Consider the following 15,064-nt stretch of genomic DNA (forward strand, 5'->3'; position numbering starts at 1 on the left):
GATCACTAATATTTTTAAGGAGTAGCTCACAATTACCAGACTGCACTCAAAACAGCAGAAATTCTCTCCAAGAAAATGTGTAAATAGCTAGTTTCTACAGGAGAGGAAACCTCTCTGAGTTTGTCACCTTCAGCTTTGGTTCACACTCCACCTGACCCATTTAATTATACAAGGGCATCAGTCATTGAAAGCTAAAATTAACAGTTCATGACTTTTGCCAGAGAGCTCTGATATCTCCAGTGGAAATTTTCCATACTGCTCTTGTGACAGACTGACATCCACTGATGTTGCCACAGAGAAACAAAAAATAAGAAATGAGGTTTTTGCCTTGGTTTTTCAGTAATTGCCACATGGACAGCCTGCCTGGTCTTGGTGACAACCCCACTTTGGTCACATTCACATAACACATAGTTTTTAGTCATTGACTGTGGGCCTGGTGCTGAGAGTAAAGAAGTGCACAAGACAAAGAGCCTGTGCCCAGAGCCAGGAGAGCTGGCCTCCTACACCAGCCCCAGCACTCACTGGCCACATGGGTTCAGGCCAAGTCTTGAAAATCACATAGATTCGAGGCATTGGAAGAGTTCCCAGGGAAAGAGGCACTCCACACCAAGTCAGGAAGAGCCAGATTAAATTCCCAGCTCCCTCCCTTACCATCTGTGTGGCATGAGCCTGAGGTCACTTAGAAATGGTCAGAAAGGAAGAAGCAGATGAAATGGGAGAGTGCAAGGAAGATCCAGGGGAAACCACATAGCTATCGTTTCTTCTTTAATCAGGGTGTAACATTCATATAGTAAAATGTAATAACATGCACCAATCTTAAGCACACAACATAAGGAACTCTTCACATGAATCCCATATAACCACCACCCAGATCAAGATATAGAACATTTCCAGCACCCACAGTAGACAGACATTTTAATGTGAAAATACCAAAAGTTGAATCCCACAACTTCTATTATGTTACCACAATCAGTCCTGCCTCACTCCAGTGCCAACTCCTTACCAGTGGAGATGGGTTTACAGTTCCTTGTTCTACCCTCCTGGTGACCAAGAGCACCACTTACAGACTAGCCTACTGATCTGGGGTTACAGATGGAGCCTATAGATCTGTCTTAGACTTTGTTTTTTTTTTTTTTTTTTTTTTTTTTTTTTTTTTTTTTTTTTTTTTTTGAGACAGAGCTTACTCCGTTGCCTAGGCTGGAGTGCAGTGGCATGATCTTGGCTCACTTCAGCCTCTGCCTTCTGGACTCAAGCTATTCTCATGCCTCAGCATCCTGAGGAGCTGGGATTACAGGCACTCACCACCATGTCCAGCTAATTTTTGTATTTTTTAGTAGAGGTGGAGTTTCACCATGTTGGCCAGGCTGGTCTCAAACTCCTGACATCAGGTGATCTGCCTGCCTCAGCCTCCAAAAGCACTGGGATTACAGGCATGAGCCACTGTACCCGGCCTGGCTTAGACTTCTAATGTATAATGAGTTAACTGGCCAGTGCTGCACTGGCAAAATATACAAAATATTGTCCCCTTCTTATTTTACTAGCTAACCAGCCCAGATTTTCTTTATATTACAAAGTGTACTAAATATCATAAAATTACTACATGGGCAATAAAAGTTGCGGGGATGTAACAGCATCCTTCTTAATAGCCAACTGGTGGGAACCACTCAAAAGTCCATCAACAGATGAATGGATAAACAAAATGTGGTTTATCTATACAATGGAATATTATTTAGCCATAAAAAGGAATGAAATTCTAATATACGCTACAACATGGATGGACCTTGAAAAACCTTATACTGAGTGAAAGAAACCAGACACAAAAGACCACATACTATTCTATATATTTCCATTCATACACACATCCAGAACAGGTAACTCTGTAGAGACAGAAAGTAGATTAGTGATTGCTTGGACCTGGTGTTCAGGGTGGAGGGATAGGAGGTTAATAGCTAAAGGGTATGGGGTTTGTTTTAGAACATTTTGATAAAATGTTCTAAAATTATAATGTTGTTTGCACCTATTTGCGAATATACTACAAGCCATTAAATTGTACACTTTAAATGGGTGAGTTGTATGGTATGTGATTGCTATGGTTTGAATGTCTGTCGCCTCCAAAACTCCTGGTGAAACTTAGTCCCCATTGTAACAGTATTAAGAGTTGGGGCCGGGCCAAGTGCAGTGGCTCATGCCTATAATCCCAGCAATTTGGGAGGCTGAGGCAGGCGGACCGCTTGAGCTCAGGAATTTGAGAGCAATCTGGGTGACACGTCAAAACTTCATCTCTACAAAAAATACAAAAATTAGTTGGGCATGGTGGTTTGCACCTGTAGTCCCAGCTACTTGGGAAGCTGAGGCAGGAGGATCACCAGAGCCTGGGAGGCAAAGCTGCAGTGAACCAAGCCACACCACTGCATTCCAGCTTGGGCAACAAGAGGGAGATCCTGTCTCAAAAAAAAAAAAAAAAAAAAAGGCTGGGCACCCATGGCTCATGCTTGAACTCCCAGCACTTTGGGAGACCAAGGTGGGTGGATCACTTGAGGCCAGGAATTCAAGACCAGCCTGGCCAACTGGTCTCTATAAGTAGAAACCCCGTCTCTACTAAAAGTGCAAAAATTAGCTGGGCATGATGGTGGGCTCCTGTAATCCCAGCCAGTCAGCAGGCTGAGGCAGTAGAATTGCTTGAACCCGGGAGGTGGAGGTTGCAGAGATACAGTGAGCTGACATCGCACCACTGCACTCCAGCCTGCGCAACAGAGTGAAACTTTGTCTCAAAAAAATAAAATAAAATGAAATGAAGGTCACAAACACCGAGGAAAAAGCCAAGTGAACATAAAGGCAGACCGGAATAATCCAGCCACAAGCCAAGGAGTGCCTGGGGCCACCAGGAGCCGGAAGAGGCAGGAAGGACCCTTTTCTAGGGCCTTCGGAGGAAGGGCAGCCCTGCTGATACATTGATTTCAGACTTTTGGCTGGTCTGAACGGTGAGAAGAAATTTTTGTTGTTTCAAGCCAGGAGGCGGCGATTGCAGTGAGCCAAGATCGTACCACTGCACTCCATCCTGGGTGACAGAGCAAGACTCTGTCTCAAATAAATAAATAAATAAATTACTCAGTCCCAGGTATTCAGCTATAGCAACAGAAACGGGCTAAGACCATGATTATATCTCAATAAAGCCATATTTAAGAAAAGAAAACAAGGGAGCAATACAAAGTAAATTGAACTGTAACTTAAGGTGTTATTACCCAAAGATACTCACGATCAGCATTGTGAGGAAGATCCCTCTGGTACTTTTCTACCTGTAATTTCGTTGTTATTTTACTTAATCATCATCATACAATACATAGAGTTTTATAGGACTGGAATGATTTCTAAGGTATAACAGTCAGATTTAGGTGCCAACACCAGAAATTTATTGAGCTATTTCAAGCACAAAGAGATTTAACAGAAGGACTCTTTGGTGTTTACGAAACTGTTAAAAAGACTGGGTAGAGACTCTCGACTGGCTTCCCAGGAATGGATCACACGCGGAACTGGCCAGCCAAGGCAGCTGTTAGCACTGCCACAGCCAATAATAGCATCAGGAAGCTGCCACTGTGACTGGTGAATCCAGCAACGGCCTTGTTAGCTGTGATTGAGGGATCTGAAAACCACCACTGGAACTGCCGGCTTCAGAGCCTTGCCACTGGCACCTCTGCTAATGCTGCCAGGCACACACATATCCAGAAAAAGCATTCACTGATTGTGCTTACAGCAGAAACCACAATGGCAGCCAAAGTGTGGCGGCCACTTTACTTCTCGAATAAATGCATCCAATTGGTCACACCTAATTGATATCAAGAACCTTAGCTGCAAGGGAGGCCGGAAAATACAATTATATATAGAAAGGTATTTACCAAACCATGTTAGAAGCTTTTAAACTATTTTAAAATAGCTACATAACTTTTCATTAAATATACATACATAGATATATATATATGCATTTAATTAATCAACCCCCCCACCTATTTAGGATACTTTGTTTCCAGAGTTTTATATTATGAATATTAAGAATCCAACATTTAATATTATAAATAATATAACGATACTGCCAATAATAACAACTACAGCTTATTTAATACTTCCTTCTTCCAGGCAGTGTGCTAGGTAGGCCCTTTTATATTCATTATATTTGTCAATCATTTTTTAGTTAAGACTCAACAACCTGCTTATGGGGTAACTATTAATCCCATTGTACACATAACAAAACTGAGGGTTAAAGAGAAGTCAGAGCTAGATTTAAGACCAAAGCTTGCATCTTTAACCAATATGCAAATACTCATGCAAAAAGACTTTTTTGGTCTTAGAAATGATCTCCACTGGACAAATAACCAGAAATAGAATTACATACTGTTCAAGAGCTGTGAATGCTTCTAAATCCCTTGAGATACATGAATGAGCAGGCCAGATTCTCAGTTAACGTCACTGTCAGGACTGTGAACACCTGCATGGCAGGAGCTCCCTTTTATCACTTGAAGGCCTGGCTCAGCGACTGGCACACTGTGGCCACTCCGTGGGTGTTTCCGTGAGTAACAGTGGGTGTGCAGGCAGAAGTGCATGAAGGCACTCCAGTCCAAAGAACTGCATTCCTTTTGCAGCACAAAGCACGAGCTGTATCTAGGCTAGTCCAGCTCTAGACCACACATGAAAGTGAGTGCCTGAAACATGCAACCCTCTATCTGCTTTAGCCACCTTCACGCACCAGCTAAGTCATCGCACTTTCCATGACCATGTTGCCTGTGAAGAGAATGAACATGGTCTGATAAATCAGGCATCCAAGCAACTGTGCACAAGACTGCAGATTGCATCCATTGCTTTAGGTAGGTCAATGGGAGCAATTTTTAGCAAGTGCAACTGTGTCACTTTGGATTATTTAATAAGTTAACTGTCCTATTTAATACTGATTCTCTAAATCAATATTAGCGACTCATATGTATTGTCACAGTCCACCAATGCCCAGACAAGTTAGACTGTGAGCCCGAGGACTTCAGAAGATGCATTAACCACTGCAGGCCACCAAATAGCCTTCCTAAGCCTTGCCCTACTTCTCTACCAGGAAGGGGTTTATACTCACACAACTACCAGCTGAAGGGATTGGTATTGCTAATACCTTGGGACCTCCGTGTACTGCTTTTTCCTACAGAGCAAAGTGTAGAGGCAAAATGATTGCTCTTGGGGCCAGGCATGGTTGCTCACACCTGTAATCCCAGTACTTTGGGAGGCTGAGGTGGGGGGCGGGTGGATCACCTGAAGTCAGGAGTTAGAGACCAGCCTGGCCAACATAGTGAAACCCCGTCTCTACCAAAAATACAAAAATTAGCCTGGCGTGGTGGTGCACACCTGTAGTCCCATCTACTCTCTACTCGGGAGGCTGAGGCACGAGAACCACTTGAACCCAGGAGATGGAGGTTGCATGAACCAAGATCATACCACTACACTCCATTCAGGTATCACAGCAAGACTCTGTCTCCAAAAAAAAAAAAAAAAAAGAATGATTGCTCTTGGGAATTTCACCACTAAGATGCCAAAAAACCATGGCACATCAGCTGGCCTATAATGAGGTGGGTCTACGTTCCAGTGAATTTATTCCATCTTTCAGACTATATCACGTGGAATTTTCTTATAGTCTTTCTCCCCCTTTAAAACAATCCTAAGGTTATTAAAGATACTCCTTTCAGTACTGCCTTCCCCACCCCTTGGGCTACACTATTCAGCTGTTTTTTAAAGAACAGAATTGTAACTTGCATTATCAATAGAGAACATTCCTGGAGAAAACACAGATGTTTTCTGGCTCGTGTCACACAGGCGGTTCTGAAATCTACGAAGTTATATGAGGACTTCCTGGCACCGTGAGAGGAAGGTTGGGAGGCAGTATTACTCAGCCAGACCAAAATGATTTTATTTATTCCACATGCCTAAAAATATGTTTGAACATAATGTGCCATAATTTTTCTGGTGATTTCTATGAATCAGTTTTTAATTATGAATAATGTTTTTAGAGATACTCCTGAGAAATTGTACCCAAGTTTCCCTTGACAGCCATCACATAAAGTATCTAAAATGAAGCAGCTTCCACGGCTAACACAGAAAATCAAAGCATGAATTTCTAAAAGATCCATTAGTCATCTTTGCTGAGAACAAGAGTCTCACGATTCGCACATGCAAAGGGTGGCTGAGAAATTCAGGTCAACAAACATAACTAGAAAAAGACGGTTACTGTCAAATAATTGTTCAAAGGAGTTTTGTACAAATATAAATTTTGTAACTTCACTTGGAGCCTTTTTTCTTTTCTTCTAGTTAGGAATTTTCTCTGTGTTTGAATTATTGCCTTTCTAATCCTCAGCTGACGTTTTGCAGCTTTTAAGGGATCGCTGTGGCTACAGCAGGAAACGTTCCTGCTCCATGGCCCAACGCAGGCCACTCAGAAATTAAAATGTTTGTGCAAGATAATGAGTATGAATTTCCATTTCTGGGATTTACTTTTAGAAAATCCAGCTACTGAAACTCAATCAAGGAGGGTCCAAGTGACACCCTGTCAAAGAACAGATGGGTGGGGTCAGCTCTGGAATTCAAGTACTTTTCGCAGGTGTATCTCTCCTGGAAACCACTTTCCTGCATTTGTCAGAGCTCACAGCTTCTGCGAAAATGTCGGCTAGGGATCAGGCTAAACAGAAGTACAAATAACTCAAGTAGCTTTCAGTGGAGCACCCTTAATGTTGCTTAAACAGGGAGGTATTTTCTGGTCAATTACCTTAAGTAGACTCCAGTAAACGCGAAAATTATTTTTGCATGAGTAACAACAGCGCTTATCTTTTTCCTTCCCCGGCTCCCAACTATCCAGGAATAAAGCAAATTCACACAGGAGTATTCCAGGACTCACAACCTTGTTTAGATTGTTTAAAAGGAATTGGAGGCTGTGGCTTTCCATCCAGTGTCGAGAGCTCCCGAGCAAGTTGAACGTGGCGCCGGCTGCTTAGCCAGAGGAAGCCAGCGTCTACCTGTGTCACTGAACGGCGCTCCTCCCACGGCGACACCTCCGTGCTCTTTTTGCTTGTATTTATTCAAAAATTAGATTTGTCAATAACGCAGGGCCTGGCAAATAGGAGGACCTCTCCAAAATTAAATGCAAGATTGAACATAGGTCTCTCACATCATAATAAAGCGGTTTAATTTGGCTTCCACCGGGGGAGCGGAATAGCACTTGCCCAGCCCCTTTGAGCCCTGCGCACACTCGCACCACCGCCGCCTCTCCCACAAAGAGAAAAGCCACGAGAAGGGTCCCGACTGTGCAAATCTGTGTGCCCTCCCGAGGAAGGCGCCCGAGGGCTCACTCTGCCTGGTTCAAAAGCTTGTGGGAGAGAAGCACCCAAAAGAATTCCGTTGTCAGGTTAAAGTCTTTGTCTATACTCGCAGGATGGGAAGGACGATGGTGCAATCACCGAGATTATTTTGTTTTCGTCCTCTAAAAAATGAAGAGGGGACTGGAGTCGGGACCAAAATTATTGGCAGACCGCACGGTTTGCAGTCACCCTGAAGTTACCAGCAGCCGATGCTGTGTCCAGGGAAAATATTCTTGAGCTGGAAAACGTGCTAATTTAAAGTCTTTCGTTTCACACGAAAATGTGCTGCACTCTTTGACTGCTCAGGAATTTGCTCTAGCACCTAGAAGGAATTCTGGCTTAGGGCAGGGGCGAGGGACAGTGGAGGGCGTTGGACCTTCTTCCGCAATCGGGACCACTCCAGGTCTCCCCGGAGAAGGCTGAGTCTCCAGCGCGTGGATTCAGATCAGGACTCTGTCTAAGTAGGCGAGAGCTGGGGATACCGCTGGGGGCTTTGGCGAAGCTAAGAAAGCACTGGCTTCTTATTCTCACCAGACATCTCAACACCCACGTGCGCTGGGTCCCGCAGTCTCTCGCCCGCCCCACGCGGGTCCCAGCCCTGGTCCTTACTCCCCGCGCGGGAAGAATCTGGGGAGGGTGGGGGCGGAGAGGCGGCTGATCGGAGAGTGGGAGGGAGGATGGGAGATGGGCAGAGGCTGCCCGCATCAGGGCCAGGACAGACGTCCGCGCGGCCCCAGGCACTCACTTGAGTGTCACGCAAGTCACCCCAACACCGCACAAGACAGTGGCGGGGTGCGCACCGAGGCCCCTACCTGGGGGGTGTGCGCGCACTGAACGACCCCTTCTCCAGGTGCGCGAGCCGCTCCGGCGGCCGTGCACACTGCGCCCCCTTCCGCCCACCTGCCTGGCCTGCGTTTCTAACCACGCGGGCGGTCCCGAGACTTCGCGCAAAAGGCAGGACCGCGACTCCCAATAATGATATCTTCGAAATAACCCCCTGCTGAGCCGGCGCCCAGGGCCGGGGGTAGAGTCCCGAGTCCCTTTTGCGGAATTAAGGAGACCTCTGGCGACCGGGGAGCCTGCCCCTGTGACCGCTCCAGCAGCCCCTGCCGCGTGCGTGCCCGAGTGTGGCCCGCAGCTCCCAAAGCCCAGGTGTGTGTGGCCTAGGGCGGGGAGAGTTGGCGACCCGGGCCCATCACCGCCCCAGTGCCACCGCCCCAGTGCCTGACCAGATGGGGTGCGGTCCCTACGCCCGGCGTGGCCCCGCCGCCGCTCAGATCTGAAGTCCGGCTTTCGCTCGCCCTGCGCGGCGGAACCTCTGACCCGGAGCAGCTCTAGGCCGTGGGCTTCGTCTCCTCCTCCTGGAAGGAATGAATGGGCTCCCCGACACACACCTCTCAGAAAACTCACCTTTCACGCTGACCTTCAAAAGAAAAGAAAGAAAGAAAAAGAAAAATCCGCTCGAAGCGGGAAAATGTCCACGCCCGGATTTGGGGTGGACACGCGCCCCGGCCTGGCTGGAGGGGCCAACCCAGCGGGGCCCGCCTGCCCGCCGGCCTTTCTGTAACTTTCTCTCTTTAAACTTCCAATGAATGAACGTGCCTCTTCTTACGGATTTGTTTAGATTAGGGAATAGATTCCTCGCTGATAGCGTTGCTTTGCAAATAAGACCTCCTATATTATTCAAACCAAACGAGTTTGTGTCTTTAAAGGACTATAGCAGCCCCATTCTATGTTAAGGGTTGGCTATTACAATTATTATATGCTTAGGGAAAAAATGTAAGCCCCGTAGTTTGTGCTTTTCTTGATGTACAGAAAGGTTTATCTTAGGTGGATAGGTTTTGTTTTGTTTCTTAAATGGGATTTTTTTGGTTCGTGTCTTTGAAGGGCTGTTTCGCGACGTCATTAATGAACTAATCGGTTTTCAGATTTCAAGACGGTGTGTAATTGATGTAACCACTGAGGAATTTCAGTGCACACCAGACTAAGACTCTTCCAGCGCAGGGGATTCCAGATGCTTCTTGGGCCCTCTGGAAGCCATGGGGATGTTTCCAGACCGAAAGGAGGGCTTTGCTGGGGAGCAGATGTGCTGCCTCTCCCCGACCCAGGATTTTGAGGCCATGTTTCCGTTAATCTGGACCGAGAGCCCTCTGGGAGAGGGAGGCAGGTCGTAGGGGGCGGGGGTGAGGGGGAGCGAGATGAGGTCGTCGCTGGACGCTGGGCTCCCTTGTCGTTGTCCTTTTCCCCAGAATCCATGGTCAGGCCTAGGGAGCCACCCCTGGGTGCTCGAGATGAGTCCCCACCCTCACTGAAGGTCGGTCACTGGATGTTTGTGTGCATCGTAAGGGGCCCACCGAAGTCCCGAAGCCTTCTCAGGGACCAGCGAGAAAGAGGAGCAGGCTTGGGAGACAGGGAAGGAAAATGCAGGGGAAAGGGCTCACCCCTCGACCCCAGGTAAAATTAGAAGGAACGTGTGGCAACCCAGGTGCAGCTTTGGTCGCTCGCTCAAGGACTTTGCTAGTCACTACCATTAATTAATTAATCACTATCATTAACTACCAAGGACACCGTTTTTATTCCCCTAAAAGCGTCACCTTGAGGGGAATGGAGAATTGGGCAGCAGCTATGCAAATCCTGGGACAGGAGACACTGCCTGAGGACCCTCTCTCACTCCCAATCCCAGAACCCGAAGTTATCCCCGACAACCAAGTCCAAGCACATGAACCAAGACGATCAGCTTCAGGCAGCTCCTTACCCCCACAAGCGGCCCAGGAGGTGGGCATTATCCCCCACCCCTGGGATTTCTCCATCCCTCCCTCTTCTCTCCTGCGGGAGAGAGAGCTGTGGTCACCCAGTTGGGCGCGATGGCTCTGGACTAATGGGGTCTCTAGACCCAGGGCACAAAGGCCAATCTGCCAGGGGTTACTGCATGTAATGAGATAATCAGACATGTTGACCAACCTAAAAGAAAAGACTCTCCCAGGGAGTAACTCCCAGTGAAATAATTTATTAAAAAAAGCAAAAAAGAGACATAAATTTCTCTCTACTACTTGAGGAAACAGCAAACAGAACGAATTAGGGTCTTGGCCTCTGCAGGAATAAATTATTTCCGACTTGGTCTGGATACCTGTAATTATTTGTAAGCTGTGGGTAGTAATACTGTAATTGTCCCCCGGTCCTTTCTGGAAGTAGCAATGACCCCAAGGACAATTGGTGACGTCTCCACAGGGTTTACACATGGAAAGGAGTGAAAAATCGAGGAATTCTTTCAGATAGCCCAGACCAAAAATCCTCTCAGCCATGAAAAGGTCATATATGTGATGCTGGGCCAAGCGGACTTTTCTGGAGTAACCATATCATAACTGATTGCGGATGTAGACAAGAGCGTATAAACCAAATAGGCTTGAATCAACGCAGTCCTGGATTTTCTGTTGCCTCTGCTTGCTGGGGCAGTGGAAGTTCTTAAACTCCACTTCAGAGGTTGGAAATTCTTCCCCCTCCCCCACCTCCTTAGTGACAAGGTCTCTGATCTCCTGCTGCCACTGCAATAGCCTCTCCCATCCCGCGGGGAACGGCCGGAGTTCTTCCCTTGATCTCTCCCGAGTCGGCTTCCGCTGGGGATGGATCGCAGGTAGGCGCCGGCGCGGCCTGGGGAAGAACAGTTGCGGAGCATCTGAAGCGGAAAATCCAAGCAGATGTGAGGCGATCCGGGCCCGCCTCGTTCCTCTTGGGGCCTGAATTTCTTCCAGATAAGTTTCCTAATGGAACATTTCTAAGAGGTGGGGTACGAGGCGGCTTGCTCGCACGCGCAGTGGGACAGACTGCGGGTGGGGACGTACTGAGAGGTCCGGACCTCAATGCGTCCGACCCGTCTCCACACCGCCCTTTTCCAGCCCCCAGTCTCCTTTCATTCCCTACTCTTCAGGCTCCTTTGGGGCCAGTGGGTGAACCGCCATTTAGAACGGTGCCTCGGACTCGGGGGTCGTGCGCTCCATCTCTGCCTCCCCCCTGGGGCCCGCGAGGCTGGTCCGGGCTTTCTGAGCTGGGCGTTCGGCTTTAGGCCCAATACCTGGACCAGGAATTTCTTCTCCCCGCGCCAGAAGGGAAAGACATAGGAGGTGTCCCAATCTGCGGTCACCGCCGATGCTCCTGACCACTCTAGTGAGCACCTGCCCGGTACTTTTCCATTCCAACAGAGCTTCCAGCTTCATACTAACTATCCCACATACGGCCTGTGGGTATTAGCTCTAAGTGTCCTTTTCCGAGGGCCCGAGGCTCCCCCTCCAGCAGGGAGAGCTCCGGGACGGCCCCCACCAAGGGTTGGGTTTCTTCCTTCACAATTCCACAGAGGCATCCCTGTCCTTCCTACCTGGGAAACCTCGAGGTGCGGTGCCCGTGTACTTCTGGTACTTTGCGTGGTGCCATCAGGGACCCCAGAGCCACAGCTGCGTGTGTGTGTGGATGTGTGTGTGTGTGTGCGCGCGCGCGCGTGTACGGCGAAAGGATGTGCTTGGGGGAGCCGAGTACACAACGTCTGCTTGGGCAGCTGCTGGGCAGGCGTTGGGCCTGGAGGTATCTCACACCCACGTATCTTCCAGTCTTCAAACACGGCATTGCTCTGCCTCCCGTAGCGCGCTTCGAACCTGCCTCGCGGACACGTGAACAGAGGCTGTCCCTGGGAAGATAAGTGCGCTTTCCCGTAAAATCCGGGAAATTTGCCTTGAGGAAAGTTTCCGTTCTTGTTACTTGTCGGGTTTCTCCCACTTCCACTTAGCCATGTTTCTGCGATCTGGGTAATCCCTTTCAAGCCCAGGAGGAATTCTCCCGGGTCCATAATTGAGGGTCGGAAGCCGTGGGGGTGAGAAACGCATTAAATCCTCCCGAAGCCCAGGAGGTGCCAGAGCGGGCTCAGGGGGCCGCCTGCGGAAGCTGCGGCAGGGGCTGGGTCCGTAGCCTCTAACCCCTTGGAGCTCCTTCTCCCAGAGGCCCGGAGCCGGCAGCTGTCAGCGCAGCCAGGAGCGGGATCCTGGGCGCGGAGGTGGGTCCGACTCGCCAGGCTTGGGCATTGGAGACCCGCGCCGCTAGCCCATGGCCCTCTGCTCAAGCCGCTGCAACAGGAAAGCGCTCCTGGATCCGAAACCCCAAAGGAAAGCGCTGTTACTCTGTGCGTCCGGCTCGCGTGGCGTCGCGGTTTCGGAGCACCAAGCCTGCGAGCCCTGGCCACGATGTGGACTCCGCAAGGGGCTAGGGACAGGCAGGGGGAGAGCCCGGGTTTGCGCACACCTTCCAGCCCCTGGAGGGAGCCTGCTCGGCTTCGAACGCCTTCGAACTTTTGACCTTCAAAGGAGTCCCTGGAAAAGGTCAGGAGCGCCTGCTGCAGGCACGGTTGCCGAAGGCCAGGCCTTCCTGGCGCAGGGGAGGGCCAGGGGAGGGAAGCGGATACTCAGTCGCTGTCCGACGGCGAGTTTTCGGAGCAGCAGGCTCATGATCCCGGGCCAGTGGCGAGAGCAGTGACACCGAGAACCCAAATCTCCGCGCCCCCATCCGCGGCCCGGTGTCCTCCCGGCCCCTGCTGACCTCCAGGTCACGCACCCCACTGCTCCACGGCTCTGCAGCCTGTGGCACACGGCCGAGAGTCCCCACATGATCTCGACGCCAAGGTAAGGAATTGCCCTGCGTCCTCTGAGCCTGTCTCTGGCCTGGGGGGCCGGGAAAGCTGCACTCCTGGAAGAGGTGGGGTTATGTGACCGCCGCTGCAGGGGTGCGCGGAGGACTCCTGGGCCGCACACCCATTTCCAGGCTGCGGGAGCCGGACAGGGGAGGGCAGAGGGGGGACAAAAGGACTCTTTAGGTCCAAAATGACCCTGAAGGAGAGTCCAGAATGCCCAGTGGCCGCGTCTGCAACGGAGTCTTCTTTCTCCAATTGCCTTCTGCCCCATCACCATGGGCCCCACCTGCGCCACCTGCGCCCACCCTGTGACCCTGGCTCAGCGACCTTGGCCCTTAATCGCCCAACGCCGATTCCTCAAAATTCCGGCTGCGCTGAATCGGGCTGCTTTTGCCGCCGCCCCGGCAGTTGGGCCCTGTTTCCGCCGGCGCCCTGGGAGAGGCCTCACCACTCGGCTGGGCTCCCTGGCCCCTCCCTTCCCCTGGCCTGAGCGCCCCTGCGGCCTCCCGCTCCTCCTGAGAAGGCGACAATCTCTTTGCACCTTAGTGTTTCGAGGACAGAAAGGGCAGAAGGGTCACTTCGGAGCCACTCGCGCCGTTTTCACGTGTGTGTGTAATGGGGGGAGGGGGGCTCCCGGCTTTCCCCTTTTCAGCTCTTGGACCTGCAACACCGGGAGGGCGAGGACGCGGGACCAGCGCACCCTCGGAAGGCTCGATCCTCCCCGGCAGGGCGCCTGGCCAACGAGTCGCGCCGCCTCCTCTCGGCCGCGCCTGCTGGTGACCTTCCCGAGAGCCACAGGGGCGGCCTCGGCACCCCTCCTTCCCTCGCCCTCCCTGCCGCCCATCCTAGCTCCGGGGTCCGGCGACCGGCGCTCAGGAGCGGGTCCCCGCGGCGCGCCGTGTGCACTCACCGCGACTTCCCCGAACCCGGGAGCGCGCGGGTCTCTCCCGGGAGAGTCCCTGGAGGCAGCGACGCGGAGGCGCGCCTGTGACTCCAGGGCCGCGGCGGGGTCGGAGGCAAGATTCGCCGCCCCCGCCCCCGCCGCGGTCCCTCCCCCCTCCCGCTCCCCCCTCCGGGACCCAGGCGGCCAGTGCTCCGCCCGAAGGCGGGTCTGCCATAAACAAACGCGGCTCGGCCGCACGTGGACAGCGGAGGTGCTGCGCCTAGCCACACATCGCGGGCTCCGGCGCTGCGTCTCCAGGCACAGGGAGCCGCCAGGAAGGGCAGGAGAGCGCGCCCGGGCCAGGGCCCGGCCCCAGCCGCCTGCGACTCGCTCCCCTCCGCTGGGCTCCCGCTCCATGGCTCCGCGGCCACCGCCGCCCCTGTCGCCCTCCGGTCCGGAGGGGCCTTGCCGCAGCCGGTTCGAGCACTCGACGAAGGAGTAAGCAGCGCCTCCGCCTCCGCGCCGGCCGCCCCCACCCCCCAGGAAGGCCGAGGCAGGAGAGGCAGGAGGGAGGAAACAGGAGCGAGCAGGAACGGGGCTCCGGTTGCTGCAGGACGGTCCAGCCCGGAGGAGGCTGCGCTCCGGGCAGCGGCGGGCGGCGCCGCCGGGTTGCTCGGAGCTCAGGCCCGGCGGCTGCGGGGAGGCGTCTCGGAACCCCGGGAGGCCCCCCGCACCTGCCCGCGGCCCACTCCGCGGACTCACCTGGCTCCCGGCTCCCCCTTCCCCATCCCCGCCGCCGCAGCCCGAGCGGGGCTCCGCGGGCCTGGAGCACGGCCGGGTCTAATATGCCCGGAGCCGAGGCGCGATGAAGGAGAAGTCCAAGAATGCGGCCAAGACCAGGAGGGAGAAGGAAAATGGCGAGTTTTACGAGCTTGCCAAGCTGCTCCCGCTGCCGTCGGCCATCACTTCGCAGCTGGACAAAGCGTCCATCATCCGCCTCACCACGAGCTACCTGAAGATGCGCGCCGTCTTCCCCGAAGGTGAGGCCTCAGGTGGGCGGCCGGGGACGCTGGGGAGCCCGGCGGCCCCGGCCCAGGCGGGAAGCGCAAGCCAGCCCGCCCAGAGGGGTTGCCGCGG

The 15,064-nt window shown here is 52.2% G+C and overlaps 1 protein-coding gene and 1 long non-coding RNA gene across 6 annotated transcripts in view, besides 1 other annotated feature; one reads left to right on the top strand and one right to left on the bottom strand.

Annotated features, from left to right (window-relative positions):
- LOC105369308 (uncharacterized) overlaps positions 1 to 14,037 on the bottom strand; it is a 66,311-nt gene extending 52,274 nt beyond the window's left edge. For both annotated transcript variants that reach the window (NR_188246.1, NR_188245.1), the window contains exon 1: positions 13,955 to 14,037. This is a non-coding gene — a long non-coding RNA (uncharacterized LOC105369308). The remainder of the gene's footprint in view (positions 1 to 13,954) is intronic.
- Positions 10,640 to 11,552: an enhancer, noted in NCBI's record as "NANOG-H3K4me1 hESC enhancer chr21:38067894-38068806 (GRCh37/hg19 assembly coordinates)". NCBI's record gives its function as "activates a minimal SCP1, AML or CMV promoter by ChIP-STARR-seq in naive H9 embryonic stem cells {active_cell/tissue: H9 hESC(naive)}" and the evidence as "EXISTENCE:reporter gene assay evidence [ECO:0000049][PMID:30033119]".
- The window catches only part of SIM2 (SIM bHLH transcription factor 2), a 50,803-nt gene continuing 49,899 nt past the window's right edge, over positions 14,161 to 15,064 (top strand). For all 4 annotated transcript variants that reach the window (NM_005069.6, NM_009586.5, XM_047440953.1 and 1 more), the window contains exon 1: positions 14,161 to 14,967. In NM_005069.6, coding sequence (NP_005060.1) covers positions 14,793 to 14,967 — 175 coding nt within the window. In that variant the 5' untranslated portion in view covers positions 14,161 to 14,792. The remainder of the gene's footprint in view (positions 14,968 to 15,064) is intronic.

The sequence above is a fragment of the Homo sapiens genome, chromosome 21 (genome assembly GCF_000001405.40).
Source record: "Homo sapiens chromosome 21, GRCh38.p14 Primary Assembly".
Taxonomy (NCBI): Eukaryota; Metazoa; Chordata; class Mammalia; order Primates; family Hominidae; genus Homo; species Homo sapiens.